Genomic DNA, 15,954 nt, shown 5'->3' with positions numbered 1-15,954 from the left:
CCAGCACTGGGCCCTCCACTGATGGGGCTGCAGAAAAACCAATCACTCTCACAACTATGTTGGCCACAGATGCAGTAGAGGCAGCAGAAGTGTGTCCCCTCACTCCTCCATTCCAGAATTTGTGCTCCTGCATCTGACTGGCCAAGCCTAGTTCTCACCCATTGCTTAGCTGGCTTAGCTGTGAGAGAGTCTAGGACATATCTTATTTCTCTCTAGATTTCACATTGGGGATACATACTAGAAAGAAGATAAGATGTATTTTGACTGCCAATCCACCTTATCTGGCATAGTAAACTTTTCAAATCCTGAAGGTATATAGCTAATCAATAGATATTTTTGAGCATTTATTATGTGTCAGCTGCAGCATTAAGTGCTGTGGTTACAGCTCAGTTGACACAGTTGACACTCGAAGGATCACCTATGCAATTTACAACTCAGTGTGCTAAGTTCTGTCAGGTGATGGGATTCAGGACACACTACCCCCAAAATATGGCACCTGGGCATACTGAAGAAAACAGCAAAGGCAGGAAGGGGACTCTGACTTTCCTGTGCTCTTCTCCCCTGAAGTGGGTCTTAAAACCTAGGAAAGAATTTTTGGCCTTCCCTTAAGCAAATCATAAGACTTCCCTGTGAGAGGTGCCTTCCTTATACGTGGAGGAAGGGAACATTTTGATTTCTGAAGACACAGGGATACAGAGAAGAATCTGAACAACCAGCCTTGATAAGTTTCCTCAATTTATTCCCATTAGATCATACCATTTTTGCCTTATCATATTTCTCTATGGCTGTCTATACTTCATCAAACCTAGCATAAAAATATTCAGATTTAACTGTTTCTTTGGGTCCTCATTTCCTTATGAAGGCTGCCATGTCACATAAAATGTTAAATATATTGATAAATATATATAAATCACATTAAATAAATGAGTATGTTTTTCTCTCGTAATCCGTCTTTTGTTAGAGGAGCTTCAGTCCTGAACCCAGGATGGTGAGGAAAAGGCATTTTTCCTCCCTTACAGAGGGAAGCCCACAGCCCTGGGGAAGGCAGAGCAGGGCTGCTCACAGGGGCCATACATACGCATGGGGAAGGGGATGCGCTGCTCAGGGAGGGCCTGGGCTGCTCAGGGAAGGCCTGGGCAGGTGATGCCTAAACTTAGTCCTGATGATGATGCACACCACAGCTTTGTGCTTGAATTTGGACTCTGATGTGAGACTGTGTTGAATCCCACTCTATCACTTATTAACTAAAACCTTGAGTAAGTTCATCTGTGTGTCTGAATAAAAGGCAACATTTGTTTTTGTTTTTTCCCCCTTTAAAAAAAAACAAAACTGTGCTTCAGAAAAGAGGGAGTGACTTTACATTCGACTTTTTACAAGAGTCAGTGTTTCATTAAACAAAAAGATATGACATTACCTTGAGATAATTATCCATTAATTGGATGTGTGATGCCTTTGAAAGAAGTCACTCACCCAAGGTCACATAGCCAGAGGCTGGTGAAGCCAGAATTGCACTTTTCTCCATAACCCACCTCTTAGCTATTAACCACATCATTCTTGCCTACTGGCTGCTTCTCCCTGGTGCACATTCCCTGCCCTGTGAGCTAATTTTCAGGCAGAACTTCTGATGCTTAGTACTTTGCCTTTACTGTGTATTTTTCACTCAGCCTGCACCTTTGGCCTTGGTATCTCCCAACGTCTCAGGCAAAGACTCAACTCCAGCTCTGGGGCCCTGGGGAGCCCTCTTATGTTCTGGCCCCTTTGCTGATTGATGCTGAACTCAGCCCTTTCTTGAATCAGACATACCCCAATCTGAGCATGTTTTCAGATCAAGAGGAGGGGGCAACACTATATACCCCAGACATGCCAACAAGCTGGGATGATTCCATCTGCGTGAGAGAGCAGAATTCAAACTCTGTAAACAGCTGGCCTGCTTAGCATTTGTACGAGCACTCGCAACTCAATTATAGGCAATTCCCTTCTCCATAACACACCAGCCACCATTTGACTCATCTGCCACCTGTATAAATGCCAAGCGATACGTAAGGGATTCCCAAACCTTTCCTCTGCCCCTCCCTGAATTTCCAGAGACGCCCTGACATCACTAGCTTTACCTGTTTTTTCACCCTCACTTGTTCCTAAATCCACTTTGAGCTTTCTCTCAAACACTATGAGAATATGATTCAGGGCCTAATCCAGGGCTGGTGAGCCCAGTTCCCAGCCTGCCAGTGCCTTAACTTACCTAGCAGTATTGAGCTGTATTAAAGGACTAAGACTCACCTTCCATGTTACCCTGAGACTTAGAAGATATTTTCTTATAAAGTACAGAAAAATGGAGAGGCAGCCTGAAGTCATGATTATTGGGATTCTAAAGATGGGAACTGGAGTCCTACTTCTGGTGCTGATAGGCTGTGTGAACTTTTGGCAAGTGATTCCCTCTACCCCTCTTGTTTCCTTCACAGTGAAATCCAGAATTTGGCTCGATGACATGAGGGCTTTTCAACTGCTAATATGTATATAAGTCACCTGAGCATCTGTTAAAATGCAGATTCTGATTCAGTAGGTCCAGGGTTGTCCTGAGATTCTGCATTTCTAACAGAATCCCAGGTGAAGCTAATGCTGCTATACAGTTGGAGTAGTAGGGCCTATATATGATTTCAAAAGCTCCCTCCCACTCCTGGTCTCCGTGTATCACATACTCTCTTAGTAACAATAACAGCTCCAAAGGGTTTAAATATATGCTTATACACACATTTATTAAATTACACATATCATAGGTCGTTAAACCATCAAACAATACAGAAATATAAAAACACAGAATGCGGAAGCACCCTGGTAACTCTACCTCCCAAGAGAACTATTGTTAATGGTGCAAAGTACTTAAGAATATGAGGACCCATACAAAAGTTTACGGCCTTCAGCTGTCCCTGCCCAGTGTGCCTCCAGTATGTTTTCTGGAAGGAGTTAAAGTTTCTTCTCTAGCTCAAAGTCACTGCAACACCCCAGTGTGGTAGATGACAAGGTGGCAAGCTTGGGCATATTAAGTGGAGGACCAGAGCTCTTTGTGTTGTATTCTTCTATGGGGATTTAGAGGTTATGGTTACTTCAGAAAGGGATCTTCACAGAGCTAAGGAAGGGAGAATGAAAATACAGGCTCAGAAATCCAGTCACCTGGGGCTTTCCAAATAGGGGCTTTTTCCTCTTTAATCTTTCTGTGGGGCCATTGCCCACTTACTAGGGGGAAAGTTTGGTGCATGTTTTCCCTAGAAAATGTCCTGTGACATCAAAGAGTGACCTAATGGAACCAAGAACAATGAGAATTTCTTTAGCAATGGGGGCTCAGGATCAACTGGGTCCTGGCTATCCAGAGAAGAATCCTTAGCCCAAGGTACACAGGAGAGAGGGAGATTTTATCTTCTGCCACTTCAAGCATGCAGGTGAGAGGGCCAGATGCAGACTCTGCTCCTGCATATACCCTATCCTATTTAAAATGGTTTCTCCTAGGAGTTTATAGCCTAGAATGTGCTCATTGAATACTTGTTGAATGAATGAGAATCCTAGAAATTTCTATCACTCAAAGAGAATTTAAATGATCATAAGTAAAGGTGTTTGCGTGAATTCATTTCTAGTTTATTGAGGATTTACTAATAAGGATAGGGCTCTTGATAAACATTTTGAGGAGACAGTACGATATAGTAAAAAAGACCCCAGGCTTGAAATCAGAGAGACTGAATCCCAAGTCTACCATTTGTATATTGTTCATCTTTCAGCAAGTGATTGACATTTTTGGGCACTGTTGTCTTCAATGGGGAAAGAATGATTTTTGTCATTCTCACAAGATTAAACAAGATAATGGCTTGAAAGAACTGTATTGAGATGTACAGATGTCAACACATTATTATTATGGGGCATTAAAGGAAATTAAAGAATATTCCAAATTACTGTCACTTGAATTGGGGATGGCTTCACGTACAAGTGATGAGGATATTATCTCTCAGTTTCAGTTACAAATTCTTTCACCCCCATACTCTGTTTTGAGACACTGGGCTGGGACTCTACAAACCAAATTCCTTCTTTGTCAGCAGCTCCCTTTTAGGCCCTGACAACAAAGGATGCTTGAGAGAGACCGTATGACAGGAGGAGGAAGAAAAGACTGGCTGCTTCCTGTTTGCTTCCGTTTCTGTCACCTCAGGCTGGCTTCTTCACACTGGCAGCAGCACTTCCTTCCAGTTGAGTCCAGTTTGCAGTTTTCCAATACATGGAGGAGCAGCCTTGTTGCATTCCCTCAGAGACACCAACATAGCTGCTGGAGTTTCCTCCAAAGAGGTCTGGCTTCCAGCTCCACAGAACTCCTCTTCCTAGCCCAGAGACCTCAGCACCAGCTGAGCAATTGCTATGCATTTTTGACCTGTATTCGAGTGCTCTGGGGCTAATCCTTCAAGTTTCTGCCTTTTAATCATTCTAACCTCTCCTTTTGTTTCCTCAGCAGTAGGGGTTGTTAACTATTTCCTGTAATTGCTAACACTTGTTACTCTTTTTGTTATTATAGTTCTTTAGCACTTAGTTAACAATTCTTTATGTCAAATTCTCTCTTAAAAGTAAGCGAAGTGTTTTTTCTGTATCCTGAACCACTGCACAAATGGACATATTAGGCTAGGTTTGGAGAAGAAATAGGAGGAGAACTGGTATAGAAAAGAGCTCAGGAAACTCCAATAGTCCTTTATAAAGGTTCTTTGAAAAATTCTAGAACGTTCCTAAGGTAAGTAGCTTCTGTGATGGCCCCCAATGATACTTACATGCTAGCATTCATGGCAGGATTGATTATGCCACTTCTAAGATTAGGTTATTTAAAAAATCTGTAGCTTCCATCTTAGGTACTCTCTCTTGTATTGCCAACTTTGGGGAAAACTAGCTGCCGGATTATCAGGTGGTCCTATAGAGAGACCCACATACTGTGGGGCCACAGCCTGCAAACACATGAGTTAGCTCGGAAGCAGATCACCATCCCTGCCCCTGATAGCCCTCAGATAAGACTGCAGCCTCAGCTGACTGCTTACAACCTTGTGAGACGTTAAGTCAGAGACACTCAGCCAAACCACACCCAGATTCCTGACTCACAGAATTGAGATTAAAAACGTTTGTTATTTTAAGCTAGTAAGTTTTGGAGTAAGTTGTTATGCAGCGATAGAAGACAAATGAAGTTTCTTTTATTGAGAAACTATGGAAGGACGAAAAGAAAATATTTTTCCAACTTTATTTTCCTAATCAGTGAATATAGAAAACTGATTTAAGAACCAGCAGTTGTATATAATTATATTCCATTGATATTCTTTCAGTTTCTAAGATTTTACTTTCTCCAAACCTTAGTTTGTTTCTCTTTCTGTCTTCCTTTTTAGTGAAATATATGCTGTTGGAGAGGAAACTGGGGCAGAGAGAAATAATACATATTTCTAAATAATCTTCTGGCTCTAATTTACCCACAGGCATACCCTGAGCTAGGTATTAAATAAAGAAAAACTGTATATTTCAAACCCTAGCTCTCATTTCTAAGGCACTTACAAGTTAATTGAGATGACAAGACACGGACAAAATTAAGTAACCTAAGGAGACCAGGACTAATCAGGATTCTTGTTTGCAAACAGTGTATTTGTCATGGTGGGTTAACATCTTTAACAGGCAAACACAAAGTGTCAATGCTTGGACATTATGTACAACTTTATTTCTTGGCATGAAGGGACTGCGAGGCAGGAGGGGCTGTGTTCTATGTACTTACTTAAGAACCCGGAGCTCTGGGTCCTCCCATCTTGTGCCCCTGCCTTCCTCTAAGTGACATCAGTGAGCAGCTGGGGAAAGAGAGCAAATAGCTGATGAAGTGGGAAGTTTTTGTGGGCTAGCTCTGGAAGTACATCACTTCTTTTCATATTCCATTGGCCAGAATTCAGTTATACAGAGCCAAAGAACTGCAAGGCAGGCTGGGAAATGTAGTCAGCTGTGTGTCCAGGATGAAAAGGAAGTGAGGTTGGGTGAACACATAAATGCAGCCACAAACAAACAAATTCTTGTTGAATTCAACAGAAAAAAGTAAATTGAAGTGGTATTTGCATAGCTACTGCTACCAAGTAGAGTTGTGCAGGTTTTGTCCAGCAGAAAGGTCCTGGGTGAGGGTGAGTGAAAGCTGTGTTCAGCTTGAAGAAAGGTTTGCTTCTTTCTAATGATCTACTAAGAGGGACGCGCCTTTAAGAAACCCATACAAAGGCACTATGTGTGTTAGGACACCCTGTATCTATCTTACAGAATCAACAAGAAGGCACAAAGGTGAGGCTTGGATATCAAGCAGAGCCCAATGCTGGTCAAGAACAATCTATTACAATGTTGCTGGTGACCCTGCCACCACTGGGCATTCACTGCCATGTGACAGGACCCTGACACCCTGGAAGCTGTGTCCTTACATGGTAGAAATGGGTCTAGCTGCCTCTCTGGGGTTTCTTTTATAAGGGCACTTGTAAGGGTGGAACACACATGACCTAATCATCTTCCCACAGGCCCCACCTTCTAATATCATCACCTTGATAATTAAGTTTTAACATATGAATTTTGGGGGACACAAATATTCAGACCATTGCATCCTCTTATTGTTTTCTCAGATCACTCCAGGGACCACTCATCTGGGTTCTCTGAGAAACAGACAGACACCAGATAGGCTTCAATGTGTGAGAAATTTATTAGGGAAAGTGCCTACGAGAGACAAGGGAAAGGAAGTTGGGAGTGTAGGAGAGAATGCAAGTGATGCAAGTGCAGAAGAGAGGGGGGATTAATGAAGGGAAATTGGGCATTAAGGGTCTAGATTGCAGTGCACCTCTAAGAGAAGTATGGCAATGTTGTTGGGGAGGCCTGAGCTAATGTTGGCTCATCAGAGGAGCCCCCGATCTCCCCAGGACCTGACCTATTTTAGTACTCCCAGAGTGCTCAGTGATTGGCTGGGAGCAGCAGTGGGAGCATGGCCCAGATGCAGGTGCAGAGATGGATTCCAGTGCCCAGCAATGAGGGCACTTATGCTGCATGTAGTTTGAGATCTGAGGAGCCCATTGTCATGGCCACCATAGCAGCAATTAGAATGCTCTAAATCAGTGGCTGGACTCAACTGTTTAAAGATTAAGCTTCAGTCATCATTCCAAAGAGTGAAGGGTAAAAAGCTCCCTGCAGGTGAAACCCTGTCTGTACTAAAAATACAAAAATTAACTAGTCATGGTGGCACGCACCTGTAGTCCCAGCTACTCAGGAGGCTGAGGCAGAAGAATTGCTTCAACCCAGGAAGTGGAAGTTGCAGTGAGCTGAGATCACACCACTGCACTCCAGCCTGGGTGACAGAGTGAGACTCCATCTCAAAACAAAATAAAACAAAACAATCTCCTAACCCACGTATCTTTAAAGTCATTAACTTCATTAACAAAGCCCTATTTATAATTTCTATTATGATAACTAATAAAACTTCTGGTGTTGAACAGAGATGAAAGTAACTGAAATGGCTCTGGAGTGGCCTTTTGAGTAAATGCTGGCTTAATACTCCAGCAGTGTGTTTTCCTGCTTAGGGTCACTAGACATCCATGATGTAGAATAAAATAAACTGATATGGTTTGGGTCTGTGTCCCTGCCCAAATCTCATGTTGAATTGTAATCCCCAGTTTTGGAGGAGGGGTTTGGGAGATGATTGGATCATGGGGTTGAATTTCTGCCTTGCTGTTCTTGTGATAGTGAGTAAGTCTAATGAGATCTGGTTGCTTAAAAGTGTATCACACCTCCCCCTTCACCCTCTTTTCCTTCTCTGGCCATGTAGGACGTGCCTGCTTCTCTTTTGCCTTCCACCATGATTGTAAGTTTTCTGAGGCCTTCCCAGCCATGCTTCCTGTACAGCATGCAGAACCATGAGCCAATTAAACCTCTTTTTAAAAAAATTAATTGCCCAGTCTCAGGTATGTCTTTATGGCAATGTAAGAATGGACTAATACACTGACACAGACTTGCAGAGCTCACTGAATCTACACTGAATGACGTTAAAGCGCATTGGCGGCAATATAACATGATGATACCCATATATGGCAAAAATAACAAAGGTGGATCAAAAATGACTAATATCTTGGAATCACCGAGATAATCCAAATACAACACTTTATTATTATGTCTTACCATATCACGATTTAGTAGAATTTTGTAATATTATGGACAGAAGCCTTTGATGCTATGGGATGACCAGAATTTTCTCATTTCCCTTTGCCAGGATATGAACAGAAGCAGGCAGAGGATGAAGCTGATGGTGTGCATGGTAAGAAAGGAGGGCTAGCCCTGTATGTGCTTAACATCTGCAGGATATGTATAGAGAGGTAGCTGGATTAGATGTATGCTGGAAGGAAGGGCTGCACCCCTGACTCTGTGCACAGGTGTGTCACAGGTGGGGAGACAGGAAAACACCAATCCATTCAGGTGCAACTTTTGATTGATCAGAATCTGTGTCAATATCACAATGAATATTTATACACAGCTTTGCTATTTTCAAAGCCTTTTCCTATACTACATTGTCTCACTTAATCCTCATAATCCTGAAAAGCAAGTAGAATTTTTGTCCCCACTTTAAAAAGTTCGTAAGGCACACCTAGTCATTGTAAAGCCTGAATCGAAACTGAGTTCCCAGACTCATGGTCCATCTGTCACCTGTCACCACTAGTTCATGCTGAGGTTACAAAAGCAACTGGGATGTATTCTGTGCTTGCAAAGAGCTCTTCTCTGCAAGAATTCCTTGAGAACATTTGACACTACCGAAAATTCTGAGAAGCTGGAGAAAAAGTGCTTTTTCAATTCAGGTTCTGGGAGAGTAGGGGGAGTAGAGTCACAATGAAGGGAGGGTATTTGTGTGTGTATATGTGTGTGTGTGTGCATGTGTGTGTGTGTATGAGAGAGAGAGATTGAGAGAGAGACAGCGCTTGAGAGAGACAGACAGAGGGGGGCAGACAGCAAGGCATGGCTAGCTACTGTCATAATGAGTTCTTTCCAGGCCAGTGCTTGCTTACCCCCCAGCTCTGATGGAGACACACACTTACTCCTTGGGAGAGGAGCTGAGGTGGCTTCCACGGCTCCAGCAAGTTAGTCTTGGGAGGCAGAAACCTGGAGACACTAGCTTGGTGGTTACCACATAGGTCCAGGCTTGGATCTCAGCTCTGCCTGTGACCTTGGGCCAGTTTATGGACTTCTACACTTTTACTTTGCTAAAATCCTAGCCTCCTAACCCCTCCCTCTTGTCCCCTCTCTCATTCCCTTTCAGAATTGCCATGTCGTACCCAGGAGTAATCTTTTAAAAATGTTAATATACTGGGTGTGGTGCCGCATGCCTGTAGTCCCAGCTACTCGGGAGGCTGAAGCAGGAGAATTGCTTGAGCCCAGGAGTTCGAGTCTGCAGTGAACTATGATCAGACCACTCCAGACTTGCAACAGAGACCCTGTCTCACAATTTTTTTTTTAATTTTAAAAAGTGAATCTGATCAACTCAGGACTCCTGAAGCTTCCTCAGTATTGTCATCAGTAAATAAACCCCAAAGATTTCTCATTGTACTTAGGACAAAATCTCATATCCTTTTCTCATGGAAAGGATTACTTGATCTGGCCCCTGCCTCCCTCTCTACTTCACCACCCCCTTCACTGACAGTTCTCCAGCACCACTCTCTTTTTTGTAATTTACCCCAAGCAGCCACCTCTTCCCCACCTCAAGGCCTTTTTGCCTGCCTGCTTCTGGGGACTCCCTTTCTCTTCTTTTTACCTGGCTAATCCCTGCTCATTCTTTAAGTTTCAACTTGCCTTCCTAAAAGAGGCCTGCCCAGAATACTTTGTTTGAATCCAACTCCTCAACCCCTTTCTTTTCCTTTAAAGCATTCAGCATGATTTACAATCATGCATTTGATTGTGCAATTCCTTATTAATTTCTGTCTCCTCCCATAGGTTGTAGATCCCTAGAGAGCAAAGAGTGTTTCTATTTTCTTCCTTTACGTCTCCTCCTGGAGTCAGTCACAGTGCCTGGTACATAGACGGTACTCAAGAAATACATGGTATATGAAGGAATGAATGACGGAGAGTCACATGTAAAGCACCTTGTCAAAGAACTTTAGCAGATTTTTGTAGTCCTGTCCCCTCCTAGTGGATACAGCCAAGCACCATTCTCAGGAGTGGGTGCAGACAGCCCTCACCCCAACCATCCACCACTGGGGGGAAGGCCCTGACCATGACCCTGTGGGTTAGCCAGGTGCAAAGCCCCCGAGGCTGTGGAACCAGGCTGAGCAGGTCCAGTGGCAGCCCTGCCACCCCGCAGCATAGGAGTGGCCTGGAGGGAGTGGGAACAGGTTGCTGGAGAGCAGGTCCCCTGGGTCCTCATCAGACTCAAACCCTCCCTGTCTCTTTTTCCCTACTGCAGAAAGCTATTCTGCCCTGTCCAATGCGAATGGATTGGCTGCTTGTTTTGTTGTATGTGCTGCTAGGCAACTGGCCTGTTTTTGCTTATTTACCTCCCCTGGGCCATTTCACAACACTTTGTAATAGGCTGTGCTCTCTCTGCTGCACATCTGGTTTGGATTGAGCCTGTCAGAGCTCCCTCTGCGAGGAGAGCTAGTACTTTCCCCAGCAGTCACCAAGACGGCCCCCCGGGGCTCTGGCTGCTCTTTGGTGCTGGACCCCTCTAGGCCTGCCCAGCCCCCATTCCCTCTTCACTCTGCACCTCCCAGTCTTTTTCAACAGTTCACACATTTCAAAGCCTGAAGAGGGGAACTTTTGAGATGGAAAAAACTGACAAGTGTTCAAGGAATATTAGAGGAGAAAGGAAACTTAACAAGAATAAAGTTTGAGTCCCAAACCCTCTCCTTCTCAACCAGAGAGGAGAACTGACTTACCCAATGGGACAGAGAGAGAAAGTGACAGACTCAAGACACTGCTTTCCTTGATATCACACTCCCCAAACTGCAGCTGTCTCATCAGCAAAACCACCCTGCCGATAGAGAGGGTTCAGTTAGATATTACTAGGTTTGAAGGAAACAATAGGTTTGCCCTTCTCCCCATCCTACCTGAAAATTTCAAGTGGGGTTTCTGTAAAGAACCAAAAGAGAATCAGAGGTTTGATAGATGTCATCTTAGAGACACAGGGAGAGAAATGAAATTTCCAACTTTTTTACCTACCTGCATAGAACATGTTGGCCGAAGCAGGGCAGGAGCAGGTGCAGGTGAGTGAAGGAAGACTGGGAACAAACACAGGACACCTCTCTCTGCAACTCCCGCATTGTTCTGGCAAACACATTCCGTACACAGTAAAATCCAAAATCCTGACAATGGCTTGCCTGGCCCTGTTACCTCTCTGACCTCATCCTCCCCTTCACCCACCCTGGTACATTCAGCTCCAGCAATTTGTGCCAAGAGAGCAGAAAAAAAGGTTTTCCTCGTGTGAAAGCAACCAGCCGCTGGGCAGAGCTCAGTGAACAGAGCAAGGACTGGATCACACACCCCTTTGTTCTGTTCATTGTTAGTTCTTGTACCTAGAACAGTTGTGCACAAAGATTGGGCTCCATAAGAATTTGTTGAATGAATGTATGAATGAATGAACAAATGAATGAGTCTGTTTTTCCTCCCAGCTTTTTCACATGATGATATTTCCCTGTACTTGCCTCTCACTTACAACATAAAATGCTGATCTATCATCCTACAGTGTAAATCTCTCATGAGCGTCCCTTTATCTCTCTGTTCCAGGTCACTGTGCTCCTGCCCATTTTTGAGCTTCTGGAATACAAGCTGTGCCTTTGCCTGGAATGTCCCTCCCAGTCTGACTAGGCATCTTCTGATGGGGTTTGACCTGGTTGCTTCTAACACTAGGATGGACCTCTTGGCAATCTCTGGATATCTTTCTGTGGTTTGTTATAATGGTAATTATTACTTATCTGGCTGCTTCACATTGATTAATTAGTGGCGGATAAGAAAACCAGATGGCTAGCTGTGTTGTAACGGAGCTACATGATCTCTATCCTCTAAGGTTTTCTAGTGATTCTTTTTCAGGTTTTTTTATGTTTTGTTTTTGACCTTAAATATAGACCACAAGGGTGTAGAGTGATACGCAAAGCAGAACTCTTGATTTATATTTTCTCCTCAAACTTTCATCTTCCCCAATTACCCACAGTGCATGGTAATACCATCCATTTAATTTCTTAAGACAAAAAAGCCTGGGACTTAGCAATTGATCATGAGTCTGTCTTTCCCTAGACCCAAGCCATCAGCAAGTCCTATCCATTCTACCTGCATGGCACCCCTCAAATTCATCTTCTTCTCTCTACCTCCATGGTCCAGGTTCCCAGCATTCTTGTCTGCACCGCTAACTCTTTATTTTTATTCTCCGTTGTCCAGCAAGTGATTGGAATCATGTTTTAAGACAAATTTGATCATGTTGCTCCTTTGCTCAAAGATGCCCAAATGGCTCCCTGCTGCACGTGGGATAAAAAGTCAGGCCTTTACCTTGGCCCTGGAAGCAACACTCTGGCCCCTGCTAACTTCTCCAACTTCAGTTGGTACCATTCCATTCTCCACTTCTCACTGTGCTTCAGCCACACTAGCGCTCTTTTTGTTCCTTGAACTGGGCAAATCATTCCATTGCCAGAGCTTTTTCATCACCTGTTTCCTCCCTTTGGAATATGCTTCCCTCCAGTCTTCACATGGCTGACTCACCTGTACTTTCAGATCTTGAATTAAATGACACCTCTTCAGAGAAGCCTTCCCTGACCACTCCATTTGGAATAACATGACCTCCCTCCCCTCTGTACACAGAGTCTTACTCTCTCATATCATCTTGTTTCAAGTTCTTCCCAACATGCACCACCAGATTTTCTATTTGTTGTCTCTCTTCCCCCAGTCAGAATGAACTCTATCAGAGCAGGAACCACTGTGGCTCCAGCACCTAGACATACAATAGGCTCTCAAAATGTTTGTTGAATGAATGAATAGATCAGTCAATAGTAACCTAAGAATAAACTGAGAGTCAGGCATCCTGGGTTCAAATCTTACCTGGCTGCTCTCAAGCTATGTGACTTTGAATATGTCATGTGTGGGCTCTGGGCCTCCCTCTCAATATCTCTAAAATGAGATCTGATTTAATGATCCCTAAAGTCCTTTGCAGCTTTCAGATATACTCTGATCCTATCAGCCGTTCAATATTGTTGACCATAAAAAATGGTCAAAGACGCTGATGACAGCAATGACCCCAGCTATAGTTGAACTATTTTTTAATCCCATGAGACATCCCAGGCTACATTTTATTTATGATTTATATTTAAGTATCATATCCAAAAAGTATTTGATGCAGCTCAAGTTTCAGACCCACTTCCCCAAAGAAGTCCTTACTTGCACCATTTATACAGGGAGAAGAAGAAGCACTCCCATCTAGATTGCTGTATCAGAATGGACTGTTATGATTGCAAATGGCAGAAACCTAACTCAATGCAACTATAACAATGAGGGAAATGTCTTGGCAGCTCTTGAAATCCATGGAAGAACAAAATGATCCAGGTGCTGGAGGGACAGCAACAGAGCTGGACCTCAGGTGCTGCTGGAGCCAGAGGCTCAATTTTCACTAGTCTTCCTTCCAGCTTCATCTCTGTCTCTATCAGTGTATTGATATTCTTCTCTCTCAATACAGCCTGGTTCTTTCCACATAGTCCCAGCGCAGCATTTATCACACTCTGTATTAACTTATTTATTTGTTTTCTTGCTTACTTTCAGTCTCTCAGTACAATAAAATATGTTGAAGGCAAAAATCCTATGCATTTCTGTGTCCCTTGCACCCAGTGAAGTGTCTGGAGCATAGAAGATGCTCAATAAATATTAATTGCATAAATCAGTGGTAGAAAACATAGCAACCAACTTATTCAGTGTTTAATATCCAACAACTTTAGTTCCTGGAAAAAAGCTAACAAAACTCTCTAGGGTTCTGCTCAAAAAATAAAATGAGTTAATGAGAAAAACAAGTAAAATCTCAGGGAAGGGACTTATTTGTCCAGCTAGGCCATATGCTTACCCTTGGACCAAACAGTAGTAACTATTGCCTGTGATAATGTCTTTGCATCTATGTGAAGCAGGGGAGGAGAATCTTTTAGAAAAAGGTCATAGGAGGAAATCCCAGAGGAGTCAACACACTCACAGAGTTGTTGTGGAGATCAAATGAGCCATTGCAGAAGAGGGTGCTTTGGAGAGCTATTATGAAGTTCCCATTTTTGTAGGTCAAAATTGATCAAATATTGGCAATTTTATATATTTCCACTTAATGTAAAAGTGTTAAAGATGTTATATGGATGTAAAATATGACTAATTTGATTTCAAGTCAGCAGAATAAGAAAAGAAAACCATGTTTTTAAGATGAAGGGTTAAGTTGATTCCCTTTTATAATGATGGTAGCCGAATATGGTTAGCATGTGCTAGCTTTATGGGGAGCAGTGCTACATGGGTTATCTCATTTTTTTCTTCCAACCCTTCCATGAGATAGGTACTAATAATTACATCCCCATTCTACAGACAAAGAAACTAAAGTTTCAATGAGGTTAAACTATTTGCTCCAGATGACACAGTTCAAAAAGTGACAGAGCCAGGAATTGAACCTGGGTTTCTTGGCCATTTGTTACACTATGTTACAGAAGGAGTCAGAGTTCAGCTCCCCTTTGAAAGCTAATCCATTACTACCAGAAGAATGAATCTTTCCTTTTCCTGTCAATCTACAGACCTGGGTTTACTCTGCTTCCAAGTCATTTGTATGGCATTATAAGTAGTAGAGTATGTGTGACCCATGGCCAGACACATCTCCTCGAGGGCCTATCTTAATCACCTTTGCCCTCACAATGAGCCTTACATTCTACCCAGCCTGTGAAATGTACTCACCAAAGGTTCATTGAGGTAGGCAGAAGACAAAAGACAATTTGCTTTCACAAAAGGATGTAGTCCTTGGTCTGCAAGGACTACAAGTTCCAGGGTGGTGGGAGAGACGGAACAATGGGAATGGCAGGGACAATTATAAAGACAAAGCTCTCATTTGTTGAGAGCCTATTAGGTTTCCAAAAGTTATGTCCAGTATCTTTAGTTTTTCTATTGCCTTGCAAGGTAAGTGGTGGTATCTCCAGATCTTACTGCTTGAGAGCTACAGATTTGTGTTATTTCTAAACTGTAAACATCTCTGTGATTACCAAAGCTGGGCCATGAAGATGTGTTTGCTCTAATTACGATCACACAAATCACTGAACCTAAAAACTATCCACAGCTAGAATTTCACAGAATTCCATTCTGGGCAGGCCCCTAAATTTCTCCTGAATTCAAACCTCACCCACACTCCAGAGCCCTACAACTGTGTCAAACAAATGCTTGACTTGATTTTATACATGAACTTGATCTTGAGCCATGGAATTTCAGTGCTGTGCCTGCAAGTCTGGAATTTAAATATTAGCCTTCCCAACCAAGATAGCTTTGATCTCTCAAGTTTACACACATAAGTATTGATAACATGGCTCGAATCGCAAGCAAGAGCACCAGGGCTGTAGCCCATGGCTGCCAAATGTGTGCATGTGTACACAGATCTCTACTGAGATCAAAATAGACTTAGGTTACACAAGTGCTTATCTGATGGAGGTGGGAGCCCCGCACATGGGCAGAGAAACAGAGCTTACTTTCATGCAGCCGCTCTTACTTGCTGCATCCTACAGGACAGACTTAAGAGTGAACTGTAGGTGAACTCTGGCGTGACCAGGCCATTACAATATGGCCCAACCTTCCTTAATTTTCTAAAGTCTGATTTCTCATTTGGGAGTGGCTGCCATGGTTAGCTACTATTTTTTTTTTTTTTTTTTTTTTTGAGATGGAGTTTCGCTCTTCTTGCCCAGGCTGGAGTGCAATGGCGTGATCTCGGCT

General features: G+C 43.1%; 1 long non-coding RNA gene across 1 annotated transcript in view, besides 1 other annotated feature; it reads right to left on the bottom strand.

Annotated features, from left to right (window-relative positions):
• The window catches only part of LINC01358 (long intergenic non-protein coding RNA 1358), a 67,772-nt gene that overhangs the window by 20,293 nt on the left and 31,525 nt on the right, over window positions 1-15,954 (bottom strand). The window lies entirely within an intron of this gene.
• Window positions 9,535-11,302: an enhancer, noted in NCBI's record as "VISTA enhancer hs1485". NCBI's record gives its function as "enhancer in: limb[3/5]" and the evidence as "EXISTENCE:transgenic organism evidence [ECO:0001131][PMID:17130149]".

The sequence above is a fragment of the Homo sapiens genome, chromosome 1 (assembly GCF_000001405.40).
Source record: "Homo sapiens chromosome 1, GRCh38.p14 Primary Assembly".
Taxonomy (NCBI): domain Eukaryota; kingdom Metazoa; phylum Chordata; class Mammalia; order Primates; family Hominidae; genus Homo; species Homo sapiens.
The sequence above is the reverse complement of the archived record's forward strand: the minus strand, read 5'-3'. Positions and strand labels throughout refer to the sequence as shown.